Source organism: Homo sapiens, chromosome 6 (assembly GCF_000001405.40).
Source record: "Homo sapiens chromosome 6, GRCh38.p14 Primary Assembly".
In the NCBI taxonomy this organism is placed as follows: domain Eukaryota; kingdom Metazoa; phylum Chordata; class Mammalia; order Primates; family Hominidae; genus Homo; species Homo sapiens.
In genome coordinates, this window is record NC_000006.12 from 68,935,067 (window position 1) to 68,961,608 (window position 26,542).

The 26,542-nt window shown below is 34.5% G+C and overlaps 1 protein-coding gene across 1 annotated transcript in view; it reads left to right on the forward strand.

Annotated features, from left to right (window-relative positions):
- ADGRB3 (adhesion G protein-coupled receptor B3) overlaps positions 1-26,542 on the forward strand; it is a 754,225-nt gene that overhangs the window by 299,785 nt on the left and 427,898 nt on the right. The window contains exons 5-8 of the mRNA NM_001704.3: positions 1,453-1,614; positions 8,764-8,928; positions 20,958-21,122; positions 21,579-21,743. Of these exons, the coding sequence (NP_001695.2) occupies positions 1,453-1,614; positions 8,764-8,928; positions 20,958-21,122; positions 21,579-21,743 (657 nt within the window). The remainder of the gene's footprint in view (positions 1-1,452; positions 1,615-8,763; positions 8,929-20,957; positions 21,123-21,578; positions 21,744-26,542) is intronic.

Here is a 26,542-nt window from a genome sequence, read left to right on the forward strand (position 1 = left end):
ATGATGCAGAACAATATAAGAGCAAATGCGTCATAATGGTACTACTCAAAGTGTGGTTAGTGGATCAGTGTTTGTCCGCAAACTGGCCGTTATGGTCTCTCAAAGGAATAAGCAGTTTACATCAGAATGTAAAACCAACTACTTCATCAAGCACAGGTTTTATTTAAGCTGACATTTCATTTTTAGAACAAATTTCTCACTGAGAAAATCTGTGTGTTGAATTACATTCTGGCCCAAACTCCTTCTTCCCTAGAGCACTAGTTTGTGGACCAGCTGCCTTGAGTAGCACTGCAAATAATTTTCAAGTCATTTACTAACTCTCTAGAAAACGATGGACAAATACATGATCATATTCTATCCTTTGAATTCTATTCCAAAGGCAAATTATAAACAGAAACATAAAATATTGTTAAATTGCTCTTTGATCTACTAATCAGTGATACAAAGTTTTCAGAAACATTTCACCTACAAATTTTTTTTCAATGACTAAATGGTTAACTTAAGTAGTTAACTGCTAGCAGCTAAATGATCCAGTGTGACTTTGGAGAAAACAACTGCAAATTTTCCAATCAATTTTTAAAATTCATCCTGAACATGATGCCATGACAGAAGTGTATTTCGTTGGTCATAGAAATGTTTGACTTTTGAGTCTCCTTGAGACATAATAAAAGAAATTCGACATAGTTTTATTGAGATGCTAACTCCAAGAAAATTAATGAATTTAGACATTCATTAGCTTTTTAGAACTCCATTTTAAATAAATTTTAATTCCATATCAAATTAATGAAAATTATCAAGAAATTTTTCTTTATTTTGAGTTAAAAAATCACTACTCTAGATCATAGGTGAAATTGTTAGCAGAAGGATTTAAATAAATTACCACAAAATAAACAGCTATCATAGTATGAAAAAGTAGGAACTGCACTAGTAATAAACTATAAATATCAGTACTCAATACAATATAAATTAGATGCGTCCAAGCTCCCAGGTTTCCACATCATCTAGCATTAGAAAGGGTGTTATGCAATAAAGGACTAAGGAGGAACACATCAATATATTCCTGCCGCCAAAGCCATAGAGTAAGCTTAGAAATATATTTTGCTTCCTTTTCCATCAAAATACAAAGTCTTAGATTAATTTGAAGAGAATCACCTCAACAAATAGTCACATTGAAAAATGCTCATTAGTTCCTTCATAGTGTCCATGGTACAGTGTAATTTGTGAAGAGTATTTTGCTAATAAGGTTATGGCAAAACTTGGTGTTTGCATCAGCATTATATGCATTCGTCTTTAAACTTCATTTTCTCTGAAATGTTTTCATGTACCTTTTGATGTATGGTCATATTTTTACATTTAAATTATTCTTGCATGTCATAATGTCAGTTTGGTATAATGCTTACTAGATGAATACTTAAGACAGTATTTCATGTTTATTTGTTGTCTTGCACGCAGGTGAATCTGGTGTGGAAGAGTGGTCCCAGTGGAGCACATGTTCGGTTACTTGTGGTCAAGGGTCGCAGGTGCGAACCAGAACTTGTGTATCACCTTACGGGACACACTGCAGCGGCCCATTAAGAGAATCAAGGGTTTGCAATAACACTGCCCTCTGTCCAGGTAGTGTTAGCAGCAACTACAACTGTGGATGTTATTGAATTGTGTCATGCTACGCATTTGGAACGATTTGTTATTTTCATATGAAACGGGTATAGGCATTTTGATTAGAGTGGATAAGTGTAATTATTATTCAACTGTAATATTTTAAGATGTCTGTGATTATTTCTGCTTTTAAAGCAGTCAGCAAATTAGGTAAATGGCTCCTTTCTTCACTGCAAATATCAGTTTCTAATCTGTGTGTATCTACTTCTAATAATATTTAAGGTTCAATTATCTTTCTGTGTTTTAGATGGTGAAAATGTTCAATTGAATGCTTGAGGAAAAATGTAATCTGCCTACATACTAAAAATATAATGTATATTCATGGCTTAAGGCAGTGGTTGACATAGTCTGTCAGGCAGTCAGCAGTTTTTCTATCACTTATCTGACCCTATCAAAGAAAAGAGTGTCCCTGACCAAATAACTTCTTGGTATTTTATTTCATTAAAGTAACTTTCATCATCAGAGGTATCCGCTGCTTTGTAAACTTAAATTAAACTTAATGAAGAGAGAGAGAGAGAGAGAGAGATCTTTAATGTTAAATGAAGCATAACAATAGCATGCCCACTTAGTGTCAGATTTTCCATGTTACATCACAATTTTGTTCTTCAGTTGATGCACGCATGCATATTATAGACATTTCTCCCTCCCAGACTACAGACTTTCATGTAAAAATAAGTAATAATAGGACTCTGGGCTTTGTTTCCAGAAGTTCAAAGCACATGATGTTGTGAATCTCCAGATTTATCTTTTTGTCTAACCATTTATGTGGTGGATGGGTGACTATAAACATATTGACAGCTGCAGTTGACAGTGGACTTGCATTCACAGCCTTTCCAGGGACCTCCAAAAGGGGATGGGTGTAAAGAAAGTGACTTGCACTGCGGCAGCCTTTCATCTGCTAGCTTGTGCTTAGAAGTTTCTCATTAAGTTCCATTTCTAGAGATGGCTGACTCCACAGTTGCTAAAAGCAAGAATAGAGAGTGGGTGGCACGGAGTAAGAACAGGAATAATGTCAGTTTTCCAGCAGAATATGCAAAGGGGTCCATTAAAAGACAGTCTGAGAGAGTTGTTAATGGGTGTAGAGTTTCAGATTTGCAAAATGAAAAAGTCTGAATATCTGTTTCACAACATTATGAATATAGGTAATACTACTAAGCTGTACACTAAAAATTGATTAGATGGTAAATTTTACATTATATGCTTTTTATCACAATAAAAAAGGACAGTGTGGAGGAAATAAAAAGTAAAGAGAGTGGTGGGCAGAAGGTGGAGGAATGATGCAATGAGGTGGGCGATCCCTTTAGAATAGAATTGGGAGGTTAACAAAGCAGTAGATGAAGTAGAATTAAAAGCTAAGCAGGGCAGAAAACTGAAACCTATGAGGAAAGAAAGGCAGAATTAACTGGCAAAGAGTAATAATTGCCACTAAGAACAAGAAAAATCAGTGAGGCTCAGTGGAAATCAAACTAGAGCAAGAAAAAAGCATGAAGTAAAAACAAAAAAAGATTCACAAGAAAAAATGTTTAAGGAGTTTGTGAAAGGGGGAAGATGAAAAATATGATTAAAAACAGAATTCATAGAGCAGACAGATTCTAGGTACATTTGGCAACAGAAGAAAAACAAGTAGAAGTAAGGACCAGGGGATTCTATTTTATTTTATTTTTTAAACTGGCAGGTAACATGTATGTTTTTATCTTGTATAACATGATATTTTGAGGTATATATATATATATATATATATATATATATGTTGTGAAATGGTTAAATCTAACTAATTAACAAATATATTACTGCATATAGTTATCATTTTTGTGCTGAGAACATTTAACATCCACTCTCTCTACATTTTTTAAGAATGCAATATATAGTCATTAACCATAGTCACCATGCGGTATAATAGATCTCTTGAATTTATTCCTCCTAGATAACTGTGATTACATATCATTTGACCAACATGTTTTAGAAATGAAATCTTCATACCACAAGGGTAGATACTTATTTTCATTTGGGTGTGGGTACAGTGGGTTTTCTGGGAAGAATACTTAAAACTGTTCCCTACTTACAGTATTGAAATAAGGAGATCCAGGATCAAGTTTTATGTCCTTGACAATGAGAAAAATGTCAATAAAGAATTATGCTGTACTTGAAATATAAATTTATCTAATCAGCCTGTGTTTGAATAGCCAAGACCCTTTCAACATACAGGGATAGTATTATGGCAAATGGATCTCCAAATGTGAGTCTGAGTGGATTGGAAAGTGTTCTCAAAAATTTTCCATTCAGAGTCTACTTCCCAGCCACTAGTTATGCACATTTATAAGGATGACATATGAAAGTTGCCTTCCTTCTACCAGAGACCACTGATTAATGCCTTCACAGAGAACATCTGTGGTGGGATCAGAGCGCTTCTCCCCCACAGAACTGCCAAATCCACCTTTGCACTGTGTCCGATGTCCAGAAGGCTAATATTCCATAACTTAAAGATTTTTAAATTAAAGTTTTTCGTCCCCATTTATGCCTGAGGTAGCAATTTTTTGAATTTGAAAAATCAGATCTTGGTGATGACCTTGAGCAGTAGAATATAAATAACTCCCACATGCTTAGTGTTCCAATAATGGAACACTAGGCATAAGTGACTCAAACCTTTTACCCTTACACCTACAGAACTGCATACCAATTACTAGCCCCTCTTCACCTTTATATGCATGAAGTCTTTTTCCTTCTAAATTTGATTAAGTAGTACCATTGAGAAGAAGTTTATCTTTTAATCATTGTTTTAGTTCAGAATGTTGAAGTAAAGAAAATGAGAAAAGTTTTATTTATTTTTAATTTTCCAAACATAAAGGATAATTTAGCAAACTAAAAATATAGAATAAGTGCCCCACTATAAGAATTGGAATTTTTTCATCTGGTTATGGTATTTGTTATGAAATATTTTGTGCTCAAATATTTTATGTTATTATTTGTTGTGCAGGTAAATATGTACTTACTTTGCAATCTAACATATCCTGAAAATAGTGACAAAAAGTGACTTTTTAAAATGTAATGTTTTAAACAATAGAAATGTCTTCCTAAAATAATAAATTCCTAAGAATAAAATTAACTCAGAAATCAGTAACTGATTTGTCACATTTTGGACACTCAAATGTATTTGGCATTTAATTAATGAAAATGACACAATAAATGAACAAATTGAATATTAAAGTCACTTTCCACAAAATGTGTGGAGTTATAGAATTAGAAGTTATATTTATTTGTACTATAAAATCTAATCAATAGTGTTATAAATTAGTGACCATTCACCCATATTCAAATTTCAGAAGTCTGCCTTAATTAAATTATGCAATATGTTACTTCAATATGGATCCTAAGGTATTTGACATTTAGCAGAATTTTTGCTTTGACATTGTACTCTCTTCAAAAGCCTTTATTACTCAAAGTAAAAAACAATGGACATAAACAAAGAAAATTGAGAAAAATAGAGCGCTACTTTCAATAGCACAATTTATTGCCCTAGTTGAATTTTATGGTTTATTCCAGGGCTTCTCAACCTCATTACTACTGACATTTTGACCCCAATAAGTCTTTGTTGGGGGAGTCCATCCTGTGTATTTTTTTAATGTTTAACAGCATACCTGGCCTTTACTCATTAGATGCCAGTAGCCCCCCGCTTTCCCCCAAGTTGTGACAACCAAATATGTCTCTAGTCATTGCCAAATGTCACCTGGGGAACAAAACTGCCACTGGCTGAGAGCCACTGGTGTACTCTTTATGTACTTTAATCCTGTAGCAGAAGTTTCTGCAGGCTAAGGAATGCTTTTGAACTTTTTTTTTTTTTTTTTTTTTGCTAAATGTATAGTTCTTATATTCATTTATTTCTTAAAAAATAAAACCTAGCCGGGTGCGGTGGCTCACGCCTGTAATCCCAGCACTTTGGGAGGCGGAGGCAGGAGGATCACCTGAAGTAGAGACCAGCCTGGCTAACATGGTGAAACCCCGTCTCCAGTAAAAATACAAAAATTAGCCAGACGTGGTGCCGCGCGCCTGTAATCCCGGCTAGTCAGGAGGCTGAGGCACGAGAATCACTTGAACCTGAGAGGCAGAGATTGCAGTGAGCCGAGATCGTGCCACTGCACTCCAGCCTGGGCGAGAGTGAGACTCCGTCTCAAAATAAAATAAATAAAATGAAACCTTTCACTTATTTTATGTACAGCTCAATCTAAATCACGAGAAAATTTATATATGTTTGTTTCAAAATATGGTTGAATATATTTTGTGTATGGCATATTCTTCATTTCGTCTCTAGTTATCACAAAAAGACATATAATAATACAGCTAATGCCTAAGCTAAGGAGGAAAACTATAAAAATGAAGGAATTTCATTTAAATATATTGGTTTTATTAGGATCATTTTAAATGAACTAGACCATTTATAGATTCTCATGTTTTGCTGCAAAATTAAAAAATATATAACAATTTGCCATTAAAATAAAAATGTCTAATCTTTAACATTGGTCTTATGAATAGCATCTATAAACATTATGTGGAATGTGCTATAATTTTCTACTAACTCAATAGTATCTAAAATAACATTGTTAGTGATTTGTATCCTTGTCAAATGAAAAAAAATCTTTTTTAAAATGATGTGAATGAGCCATGAACTTTTACCGTGTAGCCATAAAGACTGTTAGAAAGTATTAAGTAAGATTAATTTTCTGAAGATTCCAGTTTCATAATTTAACTAAGCCATCAAGGTTAATCAACATTTTTTGAGATTCATGGAGGAAAATATGCCAATTTAGCATCTTCCTTTTTTTCTGGGATTGTGCAATATAGAACAGTATGATTTGACAGAAAAAAAAAATGAGCGGAAGCAGCAATATGAATTTTACATAGCATCATTAACTTTTTATATAGGAGGAGAAAATAGGAGGAGAAAAGGTTTTTAAAATAGGAGGAGAAAAGGTTTTTAAAATTGGAGGAGAAAAGGTTGTTTTAGGAGAAATATTGGTAATTTGAAATAAATGCAATAGTTTATAAAAATATTCATTTAATATGCCAAAATATATTAATGTAAGTACTTTTAAACTATTTTGCCATAATTGATCATATATACATATATGAATATTTATATATGTGGGTAGTATATGCATCTTTTATATATATTTAATTTTATTAGAGCTAAATATAGACTTACTTTTATATATATATATATATCAATGGATATAAATTGGCTTTTGTTTTCCCAAAATTTTATGGGAAAAAAGTAAAACATCATATTTTTTGTCACCCTCTTTTTTTTTCCTACATATTATTTTAAAACTATATTTCCCAACAAGGTTCTCAGAATCTTAAAGAGATTTACATTGAATATTTCTATTGGCTGTTTTTTCAATATTTAAACATCCTATCACAACTAACTTAGGCAAATAAATAACACCAATAGAAAGGGATGGGGTATCTCACAATTAAGGTATACTATGTGTGTTTCTAAAGTAACAACTTGCTAAGCATACATATGAAGAAAATTCTAGATGTATTATATTTACTTGCGTATTTCATCTGCCACTTTTTATGAACCTGGGCTTACCCTTACCAATGTTAAAGAAAAAAATGAACTTTTTGGGGAGTCATTTTCCTCTATAAATTTCTACTCTCCTTAATCATATCTGTGGGTGTCATATCAAACATCTGGCCTTTTGAACTTCTAAGAGTATAGCAAGACTAGAGGTCCAACATCAAGACAGGAGCTTTTGAACAAAAAAGCACATTTTTTCTCATTCCTTTTTATTGATGTTGTCTATTAGGGTGCTATTATGTATTGTCTCAAGTATTAAGAATTAGGATGAGAGTGGTGATTTGACCATGCAGGGAAGGGATCAAACACTGAATATTTTTTTTTTTGGAAGATGGAGTCTTGCTGTGTTGCCCAGGCTGGAGTGCAGTGGCATGATCTCACTTCACTGCAGCCCCCACCTTCCAGATTCAAGGGATTCTCCTGCCTCAGCCTCCTGAGCATCTGGGACTACAGGCACACAACACCATGCCCAGCTAATTTTTGTAGCTTTAGTAGAGATGGTGTTTCACTATTTTGGCCAGGCTGGCCTTGAACTCCTGACCTCAGGTGATCTGCCCATCTTGGCCTCTGAAAGCACTGGGATTACATGCATGAGCCACCACGCCCAGCCTAAATACTGAATCTTCATGGTCTTTTGCAAAATATAACAATACTTATTCACAGTGGTTATTCTGAAAGAACACAAATTATGTTATTTAAGATCAATTGTGAATTCATTGTAGTAGTATGTTTGAAGAATTGATATATTCATATTTATGTTAAGCATAATTATTTTCTTTAGAAATTTATATAAATTAGTTAAATTTCCAGTTCTATCAAGTTGTTAGAGGAGGAAAAGCATCTTCTGGTTTCATCGTCATTAGAAAGAGATTATCGTATTTTCCATTCATTTTGAAACAGGGCAAAGAGGAATATTTTATTTGAGTAGACACTCTGTTTGAAATTCTTTTTATTCAAAATATGGTAACTTTAAACCCACATTTTTAAATGGCAAAAAATCTATTTTCTAAAATGTGATGTTAAAAGTTAATATGCACTCTCAATTTTCAGATTTTTTAAAATTTTCTAATATAATAGAAGTCATTAATCCCAAAATTTTATAAATGTTAGGAGAATTATGTTGGGCCTTGGCTATCTAAATAAAAACTGAACTCTAGGAGATTATCTCTGTTATAAGAGATTTAGTTTTCTATATTACTAGTTGATATTACTTCAACTTAAAAATAATTTGTGACTGTTTTACCATAAGGGAGAGAGGTGCATTTCCATTAAACACAAGGAAAGGTTTAAAATTTATGACATGAATTACTGTTCAAATGTAGAAAAAAGCACATGCAATTTTTCATTATTTTAACGAATTTTTAAATTAATAATTGTATTTTATAAAAAATAAGAATGTTATCTCAACTGAGTTTTAACATATCTTTACATTTGTCTATTTAATGAGTTTTGCTTTTTAATTATAAAGAAAATGATCTTTGATTTTACTGCTCTGCTTTTGTTGTTGAAGCTTCTTTGCTTTATTACAGTACACGGAGTATGGGAGGAATGGTCACCATGGAGTTTATGTTCATTTACATGTGGTCGAGGCCAAAGAACAAGAACAAGGTCATGCACACCTCCTCAGTATGGAGGAAGGCCGTGTGAAGGACCTGAAACACATCATAAGCCTTGTAATATTGCTCTTTGCCCAGGTGAGCCTATTCTGCATTTGGTTATGTTTGCATTATGTGCTTTTTATATGATTCCTAGTGTACACAAGAAATATTAAGAGTACAACCTTCATTCAGTCACGTTGGGAAATGTGTCCTTTTCATTGTATCTTGCCTAAAACTGGGTACTTTTCTTGATTCTATCATATGTAGTATTGTAGAATATGTCCTTTAGTGTCAATCAACATTTACCTTTATTATATTTCTACAAATGTGTATATTAATATTTTTCACTAAGACTTTTATCTGCACTTGCTTTTTCCTTCTGGGAAAATTACAAGGAATCCTAAAGACTTGAGATTAATTATTGCCTTCACACTGGAACTAGGGAGATCTGATTTAGAGCCAGTTCTTCCTATGTTATTCTCTTACACTTATTCAATTAGGGAGTGGCAATGTACCACTGACCATGTGCTAGGGAATCAGACTTTCTAGATCTCTTGCTGGATGCATAAAATGGCTAAATTGTAAACAATTTACAATCTTTATGGGATTATGAAGTCTATACAGTCTGTTCTTAGAGTGTATTTATGTTATCTTAAATTTTTAATTTTAAATTTAAATTTTAAAATTTTTCTTTCCTTTAAAATGTTTCTATTCTATTTTATCTATCCTTGATAATTAATTTCACCCATTATGCTAGAGGGAAGCCTTCACAATGCTGTCATTTAGTTTATTCCAACATCAAACAAATTCCTCCAAAATAAATAAGAATAATGTCCAGCTTCAAAGGACTTACAAGTTATAGAAGAAAATACACACACATAGATGATATAATCTCTCAGGGTTAGCAAAGACACATTTTAAAGAAAGAGATAGACATGAATGGATAATTGCAAAGGCTAAGATGGCAAAGATCAGTATAAGTAATCGCTCTCTTCTTGGGGAGATTTTCTCATTAGCCCATTTAGTCACATATTCTGCATGCAAGCAACATAGCTGGGATCCCAGTACTGTTGTCCTCCAAACATATCCTGAAACTCACCCTCAGTCCCACTGACCGTTTAAATACCCCCAAGTTAATGTCCTGAACTATGAAGCAATGCTTCAAAGTCCTTCTGGAAGTTTTAAATATATAAAACGTGAAGAATATGAAAAACAATCCAATGTGTAGATATGCAAAAGTCATCTAACAAACTTAATTGTTCCCTTCAGAGAAGGACTACTAGGTTCCTGTACTTAATGACTAGAATTAAAGATGAAGGCAAATAATTATAATTACATTATTTTACTGACTAATATAAATATTTCCTAAAATTTTATTAATTCTGTGAATTATGAGTGTAACTTATGAGTTAATATTCATACAATTATGAATATTAGATGGTCAAAACCATGATTACTTATTTGTTAACCAGTACTAGAAAATCTATTTATGAGATCAGTAACATTCTGTCTTATTTCTCTCTCTATAAACACACAGGCAGGCAGACACACACATATGTAGTGATGCCTTGTGCTTTCAACAAAGATTTGGAAAAATTTATACTTTTTAAATTTTTTTCAATGCTGAGCTGTAACATTTACATAGAATCAAATATAGTTTACTCTTATTTGTCCATGAAGTGCAAAGAAATAGACAATATGGAGAAATAAAAGACAAGAACTAACTATAGAAACTTTTTAAATACTTTTTTGTTACTTCTTTTATGTCAGCTGGACTTCATAAATACAAACATAAAAATGGCATTGATTGGTTAAAATATTGTGAACCAAGTTTCTCATAGTCTACTTTCCATTAACTTTTCTAGGAGCAAAATCCTTAGATATCAGTAGAGAGGCTATGTTACAGTTCAGATGTGAAAACTTATTTTCTTAAGTTGATATGGTTGTGGAACTTTATCACTCAAGTAGTAACACAAGTTTTTAAGCTACTTGGATATTAGTGGTATTATCTTATCATTGGAAGCACTCTAAGTCCAATAAAATCAGATGGCTTTCTTTCATGTAGGTCCTTTGTTTTTGTGCATTATGACTATATTATTTGTAAATGTAGCCTAGCTCATAGTCTCTCATAAGTGAACATATGGGCATATCCTTGAGTACTTAAACGTATCATGTGCCATTTCTGACTTCCGTTGTTTTCATTCTTGAATTTAGTTGCATCATAAAAGATGTAGAATTCTTATCACATTGTATCCCTATGAACTTAGTATCTGAAAGTGAACTCTAATAACTAGGATTTTTTTAAGTTTCCAGGCTGTGCCAAAAAAATCGACGTTATGATTTTAAAATATGTAGGTTTATTTGGTGGAAACATTTGAAATTCTCTTTAGAACTCATCATCTTATAGCTGAACTCAGGCACCTTCACTGGGTATGAAAGCATCATCAACTATCAATGAGATGTAAGGCACTGCTGAGAAGTATATATAGTCCCTGATTTCAAAAGTTTTCCTTTCCATTCAGAAGATTCAGACATAAGCATATGCAAAGTTGAATGCACTTCTGAAAACCTCATATAAATACGCTAGCTTCAATGAAAGATGGTAACTTGAGGATTCAGTGGTTTCAGGCAACATTTTTTCTAACCATACTACATGATATCCCTAAGCTATCATATTAAAGAATAAAGCTATGATAGGTACATCAGCAGTGAAGAATGTAGATCAGGACCTGCACTAGAGTGTGGACAAGAGGAGGACAGAAGAAACATGTAAAACCACAAACTGTGTCTCCCACTACTCACTACTTTTGCAGGATTTGACGGGGTGGGCTGTGGTAATAATGGGCAGTGACATTTTTGTGTGGGATAATGTTAAAGCATTATAGTCGTAAAGCTTCCTGCTTTTAATAAACTGCATGAAACCACTCTAGCGAAATAGACACTATGTAGGAATGACATGCATTGTTTGTATCAAACAATGAAATACTTTTATGTATTCAGAGTTTGATATATACCTATAAGTAGATAATATGCTATCAGATTCCTTGCTGAGTCAATGCACAACTTCCTCCCACTTCTTTTGAGGTGAGAGAAAACCATTGCCTGGGATCCATATAAGGAGGAAGGAAAATGAAGGTATAGTATTTCCTAGTGTGAGTTGTTAGTTACTAATTTGCATCCCCTGTCTGAGAACAGGGGGCTGATACTAATGAAGCAAGACAGGCAAGAGGCATAGAGCAACAAAAGGAATTTCCTGGCTCATAAACATAACGTGGTCTATTCCTTCTTTTGTAATCTATACTAATAATTAAAATATTATGGAAAGGTGCATGTTTGTGTGTGTATGTGTGTGTTCAGTGGTCTTTGTGGTCTGTTTTACTTATCTCACCAAAGTTCTGGTGGTCCAAACTATGTTTTCTATTTTCTCTGAATTTTCATTGTAGTCATTAATTGATAATTGACTTCTTAATGGTCAATTCTCAATTAATAATTTACATATTTGAGGATAAATAAATTTTCTTTTATTTCCTGTTTCTCTCTCCATGCAACTCTATATATACCTGGTGGAAACAAGAAAAATTACTATTAAGTGGACTTTCTTGACATGAACATATCCAAATTTCTAATATCCCAAAATTTAAAGGACATTTTCTATGTCTGTTTCATAATACATTGATATGATGGAGGAAAGTGATCTTGGACTTTTGCAAGAGAACACATATTTAAATTTAGATTTTTACCTTTTAATATAATTGTGTCACTCATCTAATCTTCAGTTTATTCATCTGTAAAATGGGGACAATAGTAATACCCACTTCATAGGATGGGTATTACTATTGTAATGCTATTGTAATACTATTGTAATGGGGTGGACTTTGTGAGATGCTGTAAAGTAGAGAACCTGATAGGGAGCAAATACTGTGAAAGTATTAGAAGTAGTATGTTAACGCCCTTCAACCAAAGTTCATCAGAATCACACCTGTAGCTGACCTAGCTGAATTTGTTACTCTTGAGAGTGAGGGGAAACTAACATAGGGAACTGTGGGGATCTCAGCAATGGAGTGTTTGAATTACTTAAGGGATTTGAGCTTGTGTTAAGTGATTTGGCAGAGGGTTTAAGGAAGCGAGCGGCCTTTGTTCTGAACCGGATGCTGTTCGGAAGGTGTGACAATTCTATGGTTGGATAATAAACCTTAATAAATCATCTAGGTGAAGGGAAGACCAGCCATAATTGGTAAAGAAATAGCAGTCACTATATTAGCTGAGAAAGAAGAATATTTGGTACTTTGTGAGTTGCACTGTGACCTTGTTTTTGTCTTTTAAGTGTCATCGTATGCTACTGATGTTTTCTGATATGGTTTAGGTCTAACTAGAGATAACAGTTTTTCTGTGAGCATCAGGCAAGCTGCTAATTAGGTCTAGCTGTAAGTGTCTTTTTATGGTGATTCCCCCTCTACGGTGATTTGATCACTTTAGAACCCTCTGTCCTTAATGGTCTTGATTTTTATTAATATTTAACAGGAGAAAAGTGTCGCACATAATGGAAAGTTGCATTTTCCAGTATGACTGCCATTAAAATTATATAGATATATATACCCAAAATAAAATTTATATAACCATTTCCAAAATTAAACACTTCGGGGAACATAAAAAGCTTAAGATCTTAGTTAAAAGCCTGAAGTTTTATGCTAATTTTCTTTATAGCTTTTTACTTTATAGTAATATTTTCCCCTAGTCAGTAGTTGAATATTAGAGGAGCTAATGATTTAAGTTTAGTTCTTACTGTTTTCAGCGTGGACACTTCTCAATCTGATATGTTTCCATGCAGTAGAGTATAAATAATATAGGGGACAAGGATAAATAGTAATTGAGTGACAGATTAAAGACTAAAATAAATGAAAGTTCTATTGGTAAATAAGTCTTCATTTGTATACTGACATATATATATAAATGGATTTAATTATATGATTCAGTGGGAAAAAAAGTGGTGTGTTATTCAGAAGATATGGATTAAAGTTCAGTCACAATCCTTAATTAAAATATTTACTTGGGCAATTTATATACTCTATTTTCCAATTTCCTTTTTTATGAAATGGAGTCAGTATTAATTACCCCTCTATATTACAGGATTGACATATTATTATAATTAGGTAGAAATACTTTGAATAGTAAAAAATCGATGTAGAGGATTTTTTAATGATTTATATGAATATATTACTTTAAAATTAAGAGATTTTGGAAGAAATAGGTCAAATAAACTAGGAGTATTATGATAATTATTGAGCTCTACTGTCTTAGTCATAGACTCAAAGGGATTCTTCTCCCAGGTTTTTGCTAGGAAGAAATACCCTCATACAAGCTGTGTCAGTCTGTTGAGCTGAGCAGTGTCACACCCGTCAAGCTGCATTTGAGAAATGCTTTCCTGGGAGCCCAAACCCTGCCAGAGGGATGCTGCCATGTTGCAGATTCCAGATATATTTCCTACTCTTACAAACTCTAAGAAGAGAGAAAGAATCACCTAAGAGTAGGGCCTCATAAACAGGTAGACCCAAATATTTCTGTTATATAGAGCGAGAGGCTTCAGTCTGCTATGAACCTAAAATTTTGGTCTACAGCATCTATGGGAGGATGCCCTGCCCTCAGTCTCTCTGCAGGGTGCCCTTCTGGTGAAGACAGTGAATGGAAAGATTCTCAACATTTGCTGGAACTTGGTTCAAAGGTCCCTGATTGTGTTTGCATGAGGTTGTTATAATTTGTAACTCAAATACTGCCTCATTAACCTGTTCTTTAATTGATATGGATTTTATCTTCTTAGCCTTCTAGCCTGTTGTATGACAATTATATTTGTTTTATGTCATTTTAGATTTTGGGCATTATTCCAGTGCTTTTTCAGTTCTTAGCTTAAAAGATTTTTAAATTAATTGTGTCTTTATTAATTTTGGCTTGCTTTCTTTTACCATTTAATATTTTTTTCTCATTCAAACTTTAACTTATCAACTTTTTTATCCTTCTTAGCCTTACCATTATCATTTGTTTATATTTTAATTCTAATTTTTAAAAATGATGTTGCATTTTTATTTTCCTTCTATGTAGTTTAGTATAAAATGGCAAATGGAAGACAGATTTTTGCTTCTCAACATATGCCCAAAGCAAGAGGTTGTACTCTGTTTTTTTAGAGACAGGGTCTTGCTCTGTTACCCAGGCTGGAGTGCAGTGGCATGATTTTATCTCATTGTACCTGGGAATCCTGGGCTCAAGCATCCTCCCACCTCAGCCTCTTGAGTAGCTGAGACTACAGGTGCGCAATACCATACCCAACTAACTTTATTTTTTATTTTTGTAGCAACACGGTCCCACTGTATTTCCCAAGTTGATCTTAAACTTATACCTCCAACTGCAAGTGCTTCTGATGAGAAAGAAGAGAAATTGAAACAGCCTAAGAAAGTGTTGATTCTGACCTGGCTACATATGAGAGAAGAAATTATGTATTCTAGTTCATTGTTTATTAAATGGTGTTCTATGAATTAAAAAAGAAGTTAGGTATTACATTTCAATTAAATTTGAGAAGTAAATTTTTAAACAAAGGTTATTTATTGCAGTACTCGCTGCTTTGTGTCTAAAATGGCATTCCAAATTTAACCTCAAAAAGATAGAAATTTTGATTTAAGGGCTATAGACACCCAGATTGTTGAACACTAGTCTAACCCAGTTCAATAAAATGATCAACCCTTTACCTATTTGATTAAGCCAAAATCCTAAAAGTCAACCTTAATTTTCTATTTTTCTGCACCCTACCACAAACCTGCCAGCTCTACATCCAGAAAACATTGTAAATTCATCCATGTTTTTTCTATGCCCACTGATGCCACCATAATTCAAGCCACCATCAGCTCTCTCTGGACTACATACAGTATAGTCCTCCAATATTTCACAGTACGCATTCTTGCCCCTGTACCATCCGTTCTACACAAAACCACAATATTAGGTTTTAAAATGTAAATTCTATCTTATCACTTCTTTTCTTTAAAATCTTTTCATACTTTGCATCTTCCCTGGTCGCATGGCCTATAGGGCCCTATAAGATCTGGCTTCTGCACAGCATCTGAACCCATCTCTTTCCACCTCTCCTTTTCCAGGATCCCCACAAGCCCCAGTCTTCTCTCTGTTCCTGAACACAGATCTTCACATGCCAACAGATATTTTACATGTAAAAGATTTTTTATTGCCAAAAATGAGACATTGTTTAATTTTTAATTTTTCTTTTCAGTGTTATTCTGGATTTTAAAAAAAATATTAGTGAATTTATTTTACAGTCCTCAGCCCCATAACATTTCTGGAAACACTAATGTCATTTTATTGAATAAGAAAAAAGTGGAGGTCAGGGAGGCTTTGGGGAGGTGGAAATTAAGAGTTGGCTCTGTCCAGTGATTCAGACTCAGCTCTAATATCGTCGTCTCCTGAGACTGCCTGAGCACTCCCTATCACATCGCCCTCTTTATCACGTTGTCTTCATAACACCTCTAGTGAAACGCTCTGGTTTATTCATTTACTCGTTTATCATCTGCCCCCACTACAGCCCCCAGACTACATGTTCATAAGAGCAGAGCTCAGCCAGTCCTTATCACCACAGCTCCCCCGTGGCGCAGTTGAGCAATGCCAATCACAGACTAAATTTTCTATAAATCTTTACTCCTGTGTGTGTTACGAGACTCCAGGAGGGATTGTGGAGTGTTTACGTTTTCCCAGCTTACCAGGGAACTCTTTTCTGACAGAATGCTGAGATGTGAATCAGTTTTCAATAGAAAGACAGTTTCAGAAAGAAAGCTTTGAGGTATTTTTAAATTCGTAGGTTTGCAATGACCCTGAGAGGTCCCTCTTACAAATATTGGAAGTAAGCCATACACAAGGAGCAGGCATTGAGTGGGGAGAGACATTGATTGTCTCTACTACCTCGCTGCTGAGCCCGGTAAAAAGTCAAGCCTGCCTGCAGGGTTGAAGGAGAAGCAGCTTCCTCACCACTTTAGCTCCCCAGTTAAACATCAGATAACAAGAAAAAAGCTGTTCCTTCACATCTTGGAGAACCTAGATGAGTGTTTATAAAAAAAGAAATAGAGATATATAATATGATAAATTGTTTTTATTTTTACATTTCTCTACATTTATCCCTAAAAGATAATGCACAAATTCTATCTGGAAATGCTTAAATATCCAAAACAGAACTCTTAATTTCTACCCCCCCAAAGCCTCCCTGTTCTCTATTTTTTTCTCATTCAGTAAAATGACACTAGTGTTTCTAGAAGTGTTATGGGGCTGCGGCCCATAAAACAAATCCATTAATAATTTTTTTTAATCCAGAATATCACTGAAAAGAAAAACTTAAAAATAAAACAATGTCTCATATTTGACACTAAAAATTATATATATACATAAAATGTCTGTTGTCTGTATATATGTATGTGTGTGTATATATTACATGTGTGTTTATATATATATAGTCTGTTGTCTAGTTTTTTAAGTTAAATTTATATATTCATCTCCTACCTGACTTTTCAATTATCTATTTTCTCAATGATTTGGACTTGACACACTAAAGAAATATTAGGCCTTTCCTCTTTTGTTTTTCATATCCAATGAGTTATTTTGTCAAGCCAATTCCTTCATAATAGTGCAATTACACCAACATGGCACACATATACATATGTAACAAACCTGCACGTTGTGCACATGTACTCTAGAACTTAAAGTATAATAAAAAAAAATTAAAAAGCTTGCAAAAAAAAGTGCAATTAATTTTCAAAAAGGATCTTTTGGTTCTCAGTGTAAAATAAAATCGCAAAAAATGCCCACTTGATGTATCTTCAATTTCATTATTTTCTCTGTTACTGACTTTGTGAACAAAACTGACCCCATCTAAAATACATGTTTTGTTGATGTTTATGGTAGCGTTGAACCTCAAATTGCTCCTCAGATTTCTAATATTAACACTCTTAAGCTTTAACATTAACACAGAATATGTACATGGTTAGAAAGGATTGAACAACTATAACTACAAATATATGAATTTAAAGTCTCAAAACATTTTATTATTATTGATGCAGTCTTATTTCAGTAAAAGCCTGAGGAGCAAAACACTTCACAAATAGATGTTCTCATTCTTCCTAATATCATCTCAGCAAGGTCCTTCCTAATTCTTCATAGAAATACAGTCCCCTGCCAAATTATCTTCTCTCTGATTTCGACATTTGACTTGCACATTCTAGATGCCACACTTTGCTAGACACTCTTATTCTCTCTTTGCCAGAAAACATATAACTATTGCATTCATAATAAATCATACTCAAAATTTACCTTAAAGCAGAATACTTAAGGACATCACATAGTCCTTTATTCTAGTCACTCAGCACTAAGATTAGCTTAGCAGCACCTAATTCACCTTTGTTAATGTGCTGCTTTCTTTCTGAATGTTCTCAATAATGTGGATAACTGTACATCCTTTTGCCAAATAGATTGTAAGGTGTAGGGCATGAATCTCTTTTTATAAACCCTTCTCAGAATGCTTAGGATGGTGAGGCTTCATACTGCAAGCTCAATAAATGTTATCTTTGAATAGAAAAATTCTGAAATGAAAAATGCACTCATGTTTAAAGCCAAAATAGAGGGGAAATAGATAATTTATAATATCCTATTGCTTCACTAGAATTTTCTTTTTAGTCTGGAAAATAGACTACATAACCAATATGATTGTATCAGGCACTTGTAATAAAGTGAGATGCTAAAATTACATTAATGGAATGATTAAATTGGCATTTTGTGATTTTTAATCTCATAAAGGGTTTATTAAGTACAGCTGGATGCCTGTTAAACAATCTCTTTTTAATACCTACATGTAAGGCTTGAAGTTAGATTGAAAGTACTTATTATATTCTGCCAGGCTTTCTTGTTTATTTGGATGGATTTTCATAGCACCATTAGCTTATTTTGAAACTTTAGATTTGTGGTGAATTCTCTTTCACCTGTGATCAAATTGACTAAGAACAATGAACTGATCTTGGAAAAAAGTAGACATCCACAGACTGATGCATTTATAACCTTTACATGCTAGTTTGCACATTCTAATCTAGAAAGTATTTTTGGTTAAATCCTTTGTTTATTTCTATTTTGTGGCATATGGGATTGTGCCTTTGTCAATGCTGACTTTGTCTAAATTGTCCATAACTCACCACTCTGTGTCTATTATAATTACATCCCCAGTAGATGCAGTATGTCCTCTGAAAGCCTAAATACTTCATGTTTCATGTTAAGATGGTATTGTCTTTAAACATTTATTTATTTATTTATTCATTTGCATGCAGAATGTCCTAAATTATAAAATTTTTGAGGTTAGGATTTATATTCTTTTATTTCTGTGTATCTTGTTAACACCTATCACAGTGTCTGATGACTAATAGATTCTCAAAATTATTTGAATGAATTAATACATGAATCTCAATTTGAATCTCCCAAAGATAAATCAAGCTGAACAGTCTATATTACATTCCAGTCATCAGAAAACAGCCATCTAAGAGTCACCTGGATCCTCTCTTTGCATCAGCTCCCATGGCCAGTTCTTCAGTTTCTTCTTACCACCCGTTCCTAGTAACTTTCTAATCTCTCCAAGACACTGCATCTGCACTGCCTCATCATCACAGCTCAGATCCTTCCCAACTTCTGTAATTTGTTCTCAATCCTACACTAGATCTGATCATAGTATTATGGTATTATGTATTATTTAAATCGTTCAATGGCTTTTTTTTTTTTTTGAGACGGAGTCTTGCTCTGTCCCCCAGGCTGGAGTGCAGTGACACAATCTTGGCTCACTGCAAGCTCCACCTCCCGGGTTCACACCATTCTCCTGCCTCAGCCTCCCGGAGTAGCTAGGACTACAGGCGCCCGCCACCATACCCGGCTAATTTTTTTGTATTTTCAGTAGAGACGGGGTTTCACCGTGTTAGCCAGAATGGTCTCGATCTCCTGACCTTTTGATCCGCCTGCCTCAGCCTCCCAAAGTGCTGCGATTACAGGCGTGTTCAATGGCTTCTTAAACACCTGAGAATAATATCCAAAATCCTTAACACAGCTGATGAAAGTTTTTCATAATCTAGCCTCTCTCTTTTTTAAAACTTCTGCAATCTCTCCTCACTCAGCACTCTAGATGCCTTTCACAATGACCTTCATCCAGTTCCTGGAAATGCCCATGATTCTTCTTCCAAAGATCTTTGTATATTCCTCTGCATGGAACATACCTTTATCCTAAGTATGTTCTCTTTATCCTTCAAGGCTTGCCTGAAGCCTCGGTTTGTCAAGAAAGACTCTCTGGACCTTCCAAAGTCTTATCTCACAATGTCCTGAAACTATCCTTTGCAACACTGCCATGTAATTGATTTATCTAGCATGTAATTCATGGTTTATTTCTAGGGGTTCTTTCTCTAAAATATGAGCTCGATAAGGTCTTGCTCAGTATTTAGTTTGTTCACTATTTCATGTACCCCATCTCCTAGCACAATGTATTGCATCTTTGAGTGATCAATAAATATTTTTGAAGAAATAAGTGAATCAAAAGATATACTGGAGGCCAGGCATAGTGGCTCACGCCTGTAATCCCAGCACTTTGGGAGGCCAAGGCAGGTGGATCACCTAAGGTTAGGAGTTTGAGACCAGCCTGACCAACATGGTAAAACCCTGTCTCTACTAAAAATACAAAAATTATTTTGGGGTGTGGTGACAGGCACCTGTAATTCCAACTACTCAGGAGGCTGAGGCAAGAGAACTGCTTGAACCTGGGAGGCAGAGGTTGTAGTCAGCTGGGATCATGCCGTTACACTCCAGCCTGGACAACAGAGCAAGACTCCATCTCCAAATGAAAAAAAAAAAGATATGCTGGATATATAAAATAAAATAAAAGTGGGAAAATAAGGTAATAATATTTGGGGAGTTAATAAAATCTCATGCTGGTGTGACCTTCCATTGTATTCATTCATAGTCCATTGATTGGGGTTCATCTTCAAGGGTGGTTTTACCAGGTACTTTCTGTACAGCTTGTCCTATTGGAAGATATCCTCATGCTGTCTCTTTTTCTGCTTTGGTAGTTGATGGACAGTGGCAAGAGTGGAGTTCGTGGAGCCAGTGCTCAGTAACGTGCTCGAATGGGACTCAGCAGAGAAGCCGGCAGTGCACTGCAGCTGCCCATGGAGGCTCCGAATGCAGAGGGCCATGGGCAGAAAGCAGAGAGTGCTATAACCCTGAATGTACAGGTAGGGCTTGATTCCTGCATATCATGGGCACTCGTACCATGTAAAGGGCACATTATAAAATGTGTCAGAACTATGCCAGAGGGTCATGAAAGAAGATAATCATTATATATATATGTGTGTGTGTGTGTGTGTGTGTGTGTATACATGTATTTATTAATGAAGCCGATTATACCAGAATTTATTCTAATGTATGCCATGCTAATAAAGTAATAAAATTCAGGAGATGAACTACGAATACATTTGAGGAAGTTTAGCACTGAGCTTGCACTTTTTACACTTTTTTACACTGTTCTTCGCAATGCTCTATATTTGACCTGTAAGTTAAATATTTGAATAAGGTTTATTCACAGTAGTAGATTAACAAAAATGGAAGGGGTAGTAACATTCTCAGATTTTAAAATTTTTAAAGGAGTGTGTGGTAGATGACTGACATTGACCATGAAACATTTCTTTCAGCCAATGGTCAATGGAATCAGTGGGGTCATTGGAGTGGTTGTTCCAAGTCCTGTGATGGCGGCTGGGAAAGGCGAATAAGGACCTGTCAGGGTGCAGTGATAACAGGGCAGCAATGTGAAGGAACGGGCGAAGAAGTGAGAAGATGCAATGAGCAGCGATGCCCTGGTGAGAATGAACCCAAATTATCCCAAAAGAAACATTTCATAACGTGAAAAAAAAAAGATTTAAAAATATTGTCATTGGTTAAGGGTCATATTCCTCAACTAAAGAACTACTAATGATAGGTGGCAATTTACTTGTTTCTGTACTATGTGGGGCATCCCCTGTTTATGTGTCATAGAATCGTTCCATGTGAAATATTTGTTTGTGGAGATTACAAAACAAGTTGCCTTAGGATATATATACTGGAAATGTAAAGACATAAGAAATGAATGAGAAGATAAAGAAGTGTCGCTGACATTCAGATGCTTTTAAGTTCTGTTGCTAATTACTCTGACCTTGATGTGTGACCTTGATTATCTACATTTACTTGCGTTTGCCCCATTTTTCATTGGCAAAGGAAATTCCTATGAGGAATGCATTTTAAAATGAAAGTATAAAGTCTTAATTGCTAATGAAAAAATGAAAGTCCTGCTACATTAAAAGATTTTACATATAAGCAGAGAAAATAATGAAAGGTCAGAAACTGCCCAGATTATACAGCACATATTTTACAGGATCATTTAGAACAAAAACTCCTTCCTAATCATGTGTACCTTCCATTAAAATATTATTGACACACTGAGGACTCAATAAGTAAGTGAAAGTCAGGATTTTAGAATGAGATCCTAAGAAAAATATTATAAGTATACTAAAGATGTGATAGGACAGAATTTTAAAATTTGACAATATAGTGCCAACGTGCTGAACCTAGAGAATTTGAAGACCCACTTAGAATCCTGTTGCTGCTAGTAACTCTGTGAGCAAGCTGACTGATCTCTCTGGCTGTCTGATTCCTGGGGGTACAGTGAGTACAGCTGGTTGTGAGATCTTTGAGGTTCCTTTTCAGTTCAGAATGCTATGAATTTCTGCCTTTATCTCACATGATTGTTTCAACTTAGAAGAACCAAGGTATTCTAAGAGCTATCCAGGAGTCAAAGCTTTGTATTTTTCCAAAGTTAGTATTATAAAGACTTCTCACAGTACAACACTAAGAATAACAACAGAACTGGATTTTAAGAGTAACAATATGTCAGTTGGAGTTTTGTGGGGGCTTAAAAAAGATCGAAAATTAGGGCCAGGCATGTTGGCTCATACCTGTAATCCCAGCACTTTGGGAGGCTGAGGCAGATAAATCACCTGAGGTCAGGAGTTCGAGACCAGCCTGGCCAACGTGGCGAAACCCCGTCTCTACTAAAAATACAAAAATTAGCCGGCCGTGGTGGCATGCACCTGTAATCCCAGCTACGCAGGAGGCTGAGGAAGGAGAATAGCTTGAACCCAGGAGGTGGAGGTTGCAGTTAGCCGAGATTGCACCACTGCACTGCAGCCTGCGTGACAGAGCAAGACTCTGTCTCGAAAAAAAAAAATCTAAAATTACTTTTGTTAATTCTTAACACCATATGAATTCAATATGATAAAAAGTAACCAGCATGCAGGGTTGTTAAGAGGATGATACCTATTCAGATTACCACTGTGAAATTCTTCCAGTGCTGCGTAAGAAGAATTAAGATGTATTAAACAAAAACATTTATTTTGCCTAGGGAGAAATTTCACAGAATAGTAAGCATAATTAAATCAACCCCTTCAATATTTGATGTTATCTAAACCAGTCTGGGCATACCACAGTTCTTAACTGGTCTTTTAAAATTGTCTTTCATCTGCACATATAGAGCCAAGATAGTACTGCTGCAATCAAATTTACAGAGATTGCCACCTGCTGTTTGAAAAACATTTTACAGATCTATTTATGAAAAAGATAGTGTACCTTATTTGCCGGGCTTGTTTGCTGGCTTTCATGACTTAAGGCAGGTTAAAAAAATATCACATAAAACTAAAAAAAAAATTATATACACTACACATTTTTGTTATTATTAACATTTTCATTTTACTCTTTTCAATTATATGAGATGAAAATAACCATAAATTACTTACAAGCATATAGATACCGTTTTCATAATTAAAAAGAATTCTTGAATCAGCTAAATAATTTAAACATCACTACTTATACAGGGGCAAAGAAAAATAGTGTGTGTGTGTGTGTGTGTGTGTGTGTGTGTGTGTGTGTGTACATATACACCAAGCTTTTGAATATATCCTTGTCTGGTGCATTTATATAAACAAAAATTGCATTGTCCATCAGAAATTGTGTGTGACTGTTAATTTCAAAAATACCTCTGCTTTCTTAGAGAATTTTTTTAATTTACAAAAGGGGTTTTTCTTTCATATTAATTATTTAACTTTTTATGTGCAGTCACATCATCCCCAAATTATTTTATCAAGTTTTTGATAACTGTTTTCCATATTGTACTTGATTTATATACTGGAGTTCCAACTCTGTTCAATGTCCTCTCTGTAGTCAATGTGTATTACTGTTGTGATTATGAGTATAGCGTTCCTAATTTCAGCCATTATATTGCTTCAAATTTACACACTGACAATATAAATTGAGAAAACTTTCAAATTACCATAACATTTTTCTAAGGCATCTTTGTCTTTGTGTTAACAACAAAGCTTCAACAATTTTTTTAAACAATATGCTTTTTCTAGTATTATTTTTAGTCTATTCATTCTTAATTTTTCTTCAAGTTGCTGAAAACAACTACTGTTTATTTTATACTTCACTTAATTTGGAGTCAAAACAAATTAATCAAGTTTACTAAGAGGCCTTTTGTTGTCAGGAAGGAGAAATATATATGAACATCTTTGTTTGAATAATTAATGAAAATAATGATTAATCATCTGGATCTAATCTAAAGCTGTTATGATGTCTACTGAAAATGAAAAATAAAACTATTTTCCCCTCAAGATTAGGATATTTCTTTGCTGGTAGATAGATTAAATAAAAGTATTAAAAGTGTCATCATTGATGACAAAAAATGTATTTCTTTTGTTTTCATAAAAAATAATTGTAGAAATAAGAAAACATTTTTTAAAAATAATGCTAGTTGGGCTATAGAATAGCTACAGGGAAGATAATAAGTGGTCCAATTTTTAAATTGGTCAGACTCACCAGATAATGGTTTCATTTATCTCAATCTCATTGTGTATCCTCAGGCTTTGAAGGTTAAAATGGTAGGATGGTAATAGCTCCCCTAATTTTATTAATTGCTACAATGTCATACATAATATTTTTTAGGTTTTTAGTTTGATTTTCACCCCAATATTCCCCTGGTTAATAATATTCAGAAAGCAAGTGTTACTGCTGGACTGTCCTAAGTTTACATTCTAGCTTCGTAGGAACCACTTTGCCCTGCTCCCAGGAGAAGGGCTTGCTACTTCTATAACTCCAATTCTAGGATCATTACTCTTTAGTCATTAACTGCTAAGTTGGAACCTACCATTTACAAGTAAAAATTACACTTTATTTATACATAAAATTTCGTTCTTGGAACCACAGCTGCTTTGTCTGTAAGTGGTGGGTGAGGCCTCCAGGTTAAATGTGCTGATAAACACTTGTGAAGTAAGTCAGCCATATCATAAATGTATACAATATTAGCAACTTAGACCAGAAATGTAGGAATTATTGTGATGTTTATCTATAAATATTCATACTAAAGGAGGGCAGCCGTAGTGTTGGTAATGCAAAATTTGTCTTGAACACTGTAATACACTTGTATTAGGATTTGGTGCCCTATAATATAGCGAATGTGATCCCCATCCCCACCCTGCTTACGAAAAATGTGATTCTGGAAGTGACGGTTCCTTATTTGTATAAGGTTGCTCTCCAACAGGATTATGCCTCCTCTGGAGACCAGGAGAGTCTTCCTTTGGTCTCTAAGTAATTGTCTTTTAACTTAGCTTCAGTAGGAAAGAAGAACAAAGCTTGCCTACTTTGCACTCCTATCTTCTTTTGAGTGCCTCCCTCATTGTCCAAAGCAGTGCTTCCCAAACTTCAGTGTACATAGGAATCATCCAGAGAGCTTGTTAAAACACAGATTCCTGAGCCAGACCCCACCAGCCATTCTGACTCAGTAGGTCTTGAATGAGCCTGAGAATCTGCATTTTTATGAAGGTCTCAGGTGATGCTGAAGATGCTGGTCTGCAAATCATCCTTTCAGTTGCACTAACTTATAGTAAAAATAATAATGATAAGGTGATAAAATTAACAAAGAAGTGGAATACAGTCCTCTACCTCTGTTCCACTGGAGAAAGTTGAAATATCACCTCAACAAAATTGCAAAATTTTATTTTTTTCATCCTTTTTCATAAACGATGAGGGATTCTTTCTGGAATTGGTTGATAATGAAAACACAATTCATTTTGAATGCCTCTAGCCAACTCATGTTTCAGCCAAAATAAGATCTCTTTACAGCAGTCATTTAAAGAAAAATAGGACTATTAACTAGCTGTTGTGCACAAAGAAAGATGGTTTAGTCATTATCCAACTCTCAGTTCTCCAATCCTCATTTTTCCTCTACCACGAAGAGCAGGAGAAACAACTTGGGTATCATTTGAACAAGTCTGATGTAAAACCAGGCACTGCCAGGACACAGATCTGCAGTCCTGATGTTGTCAGCCCCAGCATCTCTCTTCCTGAGCAGTATATTTTCCCTGCCTCTTATCCCCCACAGGTATTAGCTAATTAGCTAATATATACACATACACTTATAAAATACTTGGTGTGGGGATGGTGTCATGGAGGAAGATGAGGTCTTAGCTCACTTTGACTTATTTTCTCCTCAGGTTCCAGTTAGTAGAATAGTGAACTAATCACTACTGATACAAATATTTTTGTCTTTGAGACAAATTTAACAAGTTAGATT